Source organism: Homo sapiens, chromosome 3, assembly GCF_000001405.40.
Source record: "Homo sapiens chromosome 3, GRCh38.p14 Primary Assembly".
In the NCBI taxonomy this organism is placed as follows: Eukaryota; Metazoa; Chordata; class Mammalia; order Primates; family Hominidae; genus Homo; species Homo sapiens.
Window position 1 is genome coordinate 172,878,532 of NC_000003.12, and position 7,562 is coordinate 172,886,093.

Here is a 7,562-nt window from a genome sequence, read left to right on the forward strand (position 1 = left end):
TTATGGAAGGAAAATGACTGATAAAATGTGAATGATTCTTAGGAGCCTCTTATACCCTTTTTATTGAATTTTGGTGTGGCTTAATTCATTAATAAAGGTGGAAGAGTTGGAACTGTGGCATGTTTTATCTCCTCTCATTATTCAACAAAAGAGAATTTTTTTCAATAAATATTTAGAGAAAATTTCCAATTTTTCTTTTCTCAATAGTACATTTTTTAAGAAATAGAATGACTGCAGACTCAATTCAAAATTGGTATTTTAAAGCCACTCTTTCAATTCATTTATTCTCTTAACAGTTCCAAGGAAGTAAGATATAATATTATTATTTCTATTTTGCAGATGGGGTGAGTGATATTCAGAAAAACAATGTGGGTTGTCCTGGAACACAGTGCGGCAACAGCATTTCTAGGAACTAGGCTAAAAACCAGTTGTTTTAGATTTTAAACCCAATTGCTAAACACTCTTTCCTTCTCTTTCATCTTCCCCTTCTTTCCTATAAATATTCATGGAGAATTCACTCTATTTTAGAAACTGGAGGAGCTTTGGGGACAAAAAGAAAAAAAATCCTTGCTCTCTAAAAGTACACACTGTAATGGAGAAAAATAATGTGTACACAATTCATTCTTATATGATATGACATGACCAGAGTTATGCTGGTGGTATGAAGAAAGTGTTACACGAAGATCAAGTAAAGTATGATTAAGTCTGCCTGGATGTTGGGGAAGGGAAGTGACTGGGTGAAGGTTTTAAAGAATGAGGACATTTTGAGTTGAGAATTTGAAGACTGAGCGGGGAAGAAAGGAAAGGGTATAGGGAAGATCATCAGGGTGTAGTACTAATATGGTTTGGTTGTGTCCCCATCCAAATCTCATCTTGAATTCCCATGTGTTGTGGGAGAGACCTGGTGGAAGGTAGTTGAATCATGGGGGCAGGTCTTTCCCATGCTGTTCTTGTGATAGTGAATGGGTCTCAGGAGATCTGATGGTTTTAAAAATGGGAATTTCTTTGCACAAGCCCTGTCTTTTGCCTGCTGCCATCCATGTAAGATGTGACTTGCTCCTCCTTGCCTTCTGCCACGATTATGAGGCCTCCCTAGCCATGTAGAACTGTAAGCCCAATAAATCTCTTTCTTTTGTAAATTGCCCCGTCTTGGGTATGTCTTTACCAGCAGTGAGAAAATGGACTAATATAGTAAATTGGTACCAGTAGAGTGGGGTGCTGCTAAAAAGATATCTGAAAATGTGGAAGCAACTTTGGAAATTGGTAACAGGCAGAGGTTGGAACAGTTTAGAGGGCTCAGAAGAAGATGGGAAAATGTGGAAAAGTTTGGAACTTCCTAGAGACTTGTTGAATGGCTTTGACAAAAAATGCTGATAGTGATATGAACAATAAAGTCCAGACTCAGGTGGTCTCAGATGGACATGAGGAACTTGTTGGGAACTGGAGCAAAGGTGAGTCTTGTTATGTTTTAGCAAAGAGACTGGTGGCGTTTTGCCCTTGCCTTAGAGATTTGTGCAACTTTGAACTTGAGAGAGATGATTTAGGGCATCTGGTGGAAGAGATTTCTAAGCAGCAAAGCATTCAAGAGGTGACTTGGGTGCTGTTAAAGGCATTCGGTTTCAAAAGGGAAACAGAGCATAAAAGTTTGGAAAATTAGCAGCCTGACAAGGCAATAGAAGAGAAAAATCTCATTTTCTGAGGAGAAATTCAAGCCAGCTGCAGAAATTTGCATAAGTAACAGGGAGCCAAATGTTAATCCCCAAGACAGGGAAAATGTCTCCAGGATATGTCAGAGGTCTTCACAACAGCCCCTCCCATCACAGGCCCAGAGGCCTAGCAAGAAAAAATGGTTTCATGGGCTGAGCCCAGGGTCCCCGTGCTATGTGCAGTCTAGGGACTTGGTGCCCTGCATCCCAGCTGCTCCAGACATGACTAAAAGGGGCCAAGGTACAGCTTGGGCCATGGCTTCAGAGGGTGCAAGCCCCAAGCCTTGGCAGCTTCCATATGGTGTTGAGCCTGCAGGTGCACAAGAGTCAATAATTAAGGTTTGGGAACCTCCTCCTAGATTTCAGAGGATGTATGGAAATGCCTGGATGTCCAGACAGATTTGATGCAGGGGCAAGGCTCTAATGAAGAACCTCTGCTAAGACAGTTGGGAAGGGAAATGTGGGGTTGGAGTCCCCACACACAGTCCCTACTGAGGCACTGCCTAGTGGAGCTGTGAGAAGGCCACCATCCTCCAGACCCCAGAATGGTAGATCCATCGACGGCTTACACCGTGTGCCTGGAAAAGCCACAGACACTCAACACCAGTCTGTGAAAGCAGCTGGGAAGGAGGCTGTACCCCGCAAAGCCACCATGATGGAGCTGCCCAAGACAATGGGAACCCACCTCTTGCATCAGTGTTACCTGGATGTGAGACATGGAGTCAAAGGAGATCATTTTGGAGCTTTAAGATTTCACTGTATTTCTGGATTTTGGATTTGCATGGGGCCTGTAGCCCCTTTGTTTTGGCCAATTTCTCCCATTTGGAATGGCTGTACCCAATACCTGTACCTCCATTGTATCTAGGAAGTAACTAACTTGCTTTTGATTTTACAGGCTTATAGGTGGAAGGGACTTGCCTTGTCTCAGTGAGACGACTTTGGACTGTGGACTTCTGAGTTAATGTTGAAATGAGTTAAGACTTTGGGGGACTGTTGGGAAGGGATGATTGCTTTTGAAATGTGAAGACCTGAGATTTGGGAGGGGTCAGGGGTGGAATGATATGGCTTGGATGTGTCTCCATCCAAATCTCATCTTGAATTCTCATGTGTTGTGGGAGGGACCTGGTGGGAGGTTATTGAATCATGGGACCAGGTCTTTCTTGTGCTGTTCTTGTGTTAGTGAATGGGTCTCATGAGATCTGATGGTTTAAAAATGGGAGTTTCTCTGCACAAGCCCTCTCTTTGCCTGCTGCCATCCATGTAAGATGTGACTTGCTCCTCCATGCCTTCTGCCATGATTGTGAGGCCTCCCCAGCCATGTGGTACTGTAAGCCCAATAGATCTCTTTCTTTTGTAAATTGCCCAGTTTCAGGTATGTCTTTACCAGCAGTGAGAAAGCGGACTAATACAGGTACCCGTCGTCCTGAAATATGGGGTGCTCCAGGGTGGGGTTACCCAAAAGATAGGGCAGCAAGTTAGGTAGAGCTGGGTCTTGAAATCTCAGTGCCTTTAAAGTGTCTGGAATCTCTTGTGGAAATAGGGAGCTGCTGCTGGTGTGAAAGTGTATGACATTCATACACCCATGCAGATTCAGATCGTGAGATTCATAAAGATTGTTCTGATCACGGTGTGGAGGAGGGATTGGAGTGAGGAGAAATCAGGGAGAATAATACCTGTTATGGGGTGCATCATTGTGACTCCCCAAATTCATGTGTTGAAAGCCTAAGCTTCAATGGGATGATATTAGGAGATGGAGCTTTTGGGAGGTAATTAGGTCATAAGGGTAGAGAGTTAATGATGGGATTATTGTCTGCATAAAGAGATACACAGTAAGCTTGCTTCCCTTTTCTACTCTCTATCAGGTGAGGATACAGCAGGAAAGCACCCATCTGTAAGCCAGGAAGAGGGCCTCACCAGACATCAGATCTGCTAGCACCTTGATCTTGAACTTCCTAGACTCCATAACTAGGAGTAATAAATGTTGTTTACGCCACCCAGTTTATGATAATTTGTTATAGCAGCAAACTGATTGAGGCAGGGCCCACCTGCAATGACAACTTGTAGGAGATGTGAAAAAGTCTGAACTAAGGCAGTGACAGTGGGAATGAAGCAGGCAGGGTGGAAAAATTTGACATTTTGAGCTAGAATAGAAAAAAAAGCCTGCCTTGTTGTAAAGTATAAGGGAGAAGACATACTTCTATCTTAAAAAGATCTAGAGTTCTGGTAGAGCACATATATTTTTAGTTTTAAATTGTTATTATTTGGACCACAGCTCATTAAATACCTCAAATAACTGGCTTTTCTGTGTTAAACATTTATGAGAAAGGCAAATGGCAATAAAATAGCTTGAAAGCAATTTTATTTTCAAGGAAGCCATTTCTACTTCCTGTTTTGGGACCACTTCATATTAGTTCAATTTCATACATCTTTGGTGTCATATTCCTGTCCCTCTGTCCTCTGAGCATTCATTTTCTGGTTGTCCTGCATTCACACACCCACGCAGAGCTAGCAGCTCCTTCCTCCCTGCCACATAGAGGTACTCAGGCAGCACTATCAGAGATATTTCAGGACAGTCCTTTGCAGGCCTGCCCCTTCTGCTATAGTGTTAACTCCTTTAGGCCAGGGACTGTTTTTTACTCTACTTTCTATCTCAGAGGGAGGACACTAATATTTAGACTCTCCATTATGTGTCACACACTATTTATACCATTAAAATATATGGGGGCTCTCAATACACATATGAGGACTATTATCATCATTTCATGGATTTGGTAACTGAGATATGGATTACACAATGAGAAAGCCAATGCTTTCTGTATTACCTCACATTACTGTCCTAATGTCCATTCTGTGTCCTGGCATATATTTGGATGCTCTCATTTAATTAGCATTATATGGAGGTCAATTTTCTTATCAATAGATAGCTCTTTCTCTGCTAGTGGAAAGGAATTCTCTGTCCCTGGAGTATATAAATAGTATTGTGTTTCTACTTTGTTCTTGGTTAAATGCATTGTGTGTGCTAGTTCAGGAACTTCGCTTTGCTACCACTTATGTTTTTATGGGATAATGTGACTCAAGGGACTAACACTGGTTACAGATGTTCCCAGTATATCCTTGGCTTCTCCTGTGTTAAGTAACCATGTGTTACATTAACGATAAGATCACAAATCTCAATGCTCTTTGAGTATCTACCTTCCTACTAGTAGAAAATTTTGGGCTTTTCCTAGGATTATTCTGCTCAAGTATTCCCAGGAGGCACTGTTGTGCAAGGTGGGTCCTTTAGCGATCACCATCTGTCTTAAGCCAAGGCAAATCCTATAGTTCTGCTTTATAAAGAAAGGCTTTATTAGGGAAACAATGCAAGGTTCAGTCAGATGTAATATTTGTCATGTCCACAGCAAGATGTGCTGGCTGTAGGGCATTGTGTTGGACACACTGTGGGTGCACATTCTGGGAGCAGAACCTTCTTCCTTGTTGATCTCTCATCTTAAGGAAAAGTATTAAAGGGGATAGATACTGATGTGGTCTGGCTCTGTGTCCCCACCCAAATCTCATCTTGAATTGTAACCTGAATTGTAATCCTCATGTGTTGGGGGCGGGACCTGGTGGGAGGTAATTGAATCATGGGGACAGTACCCTCATGCTATTCTCATGATAGTGAATGAGTTCTCATGAGATCTGATGGTTTTATAAGGGGCTTGCCCACCTTTGCTCTGCACTTTTCTCTCCTGCCTCCATGTGAAGAAGGACATGATTGCTTCCCCTTCACCTCCCACCATGATTGTAAGTTTCCTGAGGCCTCCCCAGCCATGTGGAACTCTGAATAAATTAAACCTCCTTCCTTTATAAATTACCTGGTCTTGGGCTGTTCTTTATTAGCAGTGAAAGAACAGACTAATACAGATACTAACAGACTATAGGACTTTCATGGCCGGTTGTCTGGAAAAGCCAATTGCCCTGCTCCTGGGGACCTTGGGTTCACAGAAACTTACAGTCAGGGACTGAAGGCTGAGATCCAGTTCAGCTCATCCTGCCAGAAGAAGGGAAGAGCTCTCAATTCCATCTGACTTATTGTCCAGGCCAGTGCTGTTCAACAGAAATATCATTTGAGCCACCTACGTAATTTTGAATATTTTAGTAACTACATTAAAAAATTAACAAAAAATGGGTAACATTAATTTTAATAATATATTTTCTTTGAATCACTATATCCAAAAATTGTTGTTTTATGTAATCAATATAAAAATTGTTATTGAGGTGTTTTACATCCTTGATACCAAGTCTTTGAAATTAAGTGTGTATTTTACACTTACAGCACATCTCAATTTGAATGCTAAATTTTCATCCAGAATACTTGATCTGTATTTAGATTTCATAAAATGTAGAGTTAAAAAGTCAATATTCATACCCAAGTTGTTCCAAATATACTTCAACATTTTCCAATAACTGAATTGAGTATCAGTTTTTAAATTTAAATTTAACTTTAACAAGTTAAATTTAAAATTAAAAATTCAGTTCTTTGTTTGCACTAGCCAATTTCAGGGCCTCAGTTGTCCCACATGAGTAGTGCCTACCTAATTGGATGGAGTAAGTTCCCATGGTCATTTTTGGGCAATCTTAGGCATGTATATTTCTAATTTTACTTAGGACCCACAAGGTTCTAAAAACAGTGATATAAAAATAAAACACAGAAAAGCAGTATATCAAGTCCCTATTCTGGAGTAAAACTGCCTGGTTCAAATTCAAGCTTTGCTACTTTCTAGCTGTAAGAAAGTCACTTCACCCCTTGGGCTTGACGTTACTATTAGGTAAAAAGAAGATAACATTTCTTGTCTCAGCATTGTGATAAGGACAAAGCTGAACAATGTTTGGTTTATAGTGAGTTGTCAATACAGGTAAGGTATTATTGCTTCAGTGTTTAAAAATTATTTCATGATTCATTATGTCATTTATTCCTTACTAAAACCTTATTAGGTAGGAAAAGAATTATCCCTTTTTACACAGAGCTAGGATTTGAACACAGGTCTTCAAAATCTAAGCCCATTTTGCTTTTCATATGATGATTACTATCATCATCAGCTAACTTGGGTGGCACCTGTGAGAGGTATCTTTCTATTTAACAGCTGTACTATACCAGCTTTCCCTTCTGGCTTTATGGAAGCAGACCTGAGACAACTATTTATATCTGTCAACCTGTTGTATGAGTTTTAGAGAAAGGGCTGACTTCCTGTTAACATCAGGGATTTGGTCTTCTCATTTCTCACTAAATATTTGCCTTGCTACTTTTTCAAACATTTATTTTAAAAGGAAGCTAAAGTCTTGATTATTAATGCATATTAATTCTGCACATTGCCTTGGATTGGTGGATCACAATAAAAGCACATATTCAATATACAATTTTCAAGTTCCCATACTATTTATTATATCACATGCATGGAGAATAATTTTGAGCTTTGATTATCTCCTGTGGTGTGAGTGTCTCTGGCTTTTTTTCATTAAGATACAAACAGAGTATGCTCGCATTAAAACTTTTGGGATGCTCTTTGGGTCTATTTTCTGACTTACCTTTCCTTTGATGGTTTGTCATAAATAGCTGCCTGCCTCCAGGTGTCATTACACTCCATCTTGACAATCTGCTGCTTGTCAAGATTGTACAATAGTCCTTTGTATCCATGTCCATGAGCCCAGGAAACTGCTGAGTGGATCAGGCCACTTGTGAAATATCTGATTGAACTTAGACTCCATCATATCATCTCAATGAATCAAGCCACTGTAAATCACAGCTTTGCTCTGCCAGTGGTCTCTCAACCTTCAATACATTTTGATTTAAGGGACGTTGGTCTGTGATCATCTCAT

At 40.5% G+C, this 7,562-nt stretch overlaps 1 annotated feature.

The window, feature by feature from the left end:
- Positions 4,124–4,324: a silencer, noted in NCBI's record as "peak4926 fragment used in MPRA reporter construct". NCBI's record gives its function as "represses an SCP1 promoter by STARR-seq MPRAs in K562 erythroleukemia cells {active_cell/tissue: K562}" and the evidence as "EXISTENCE:reporter gene assay evidence [ECO:0000049][PMID:32103011]".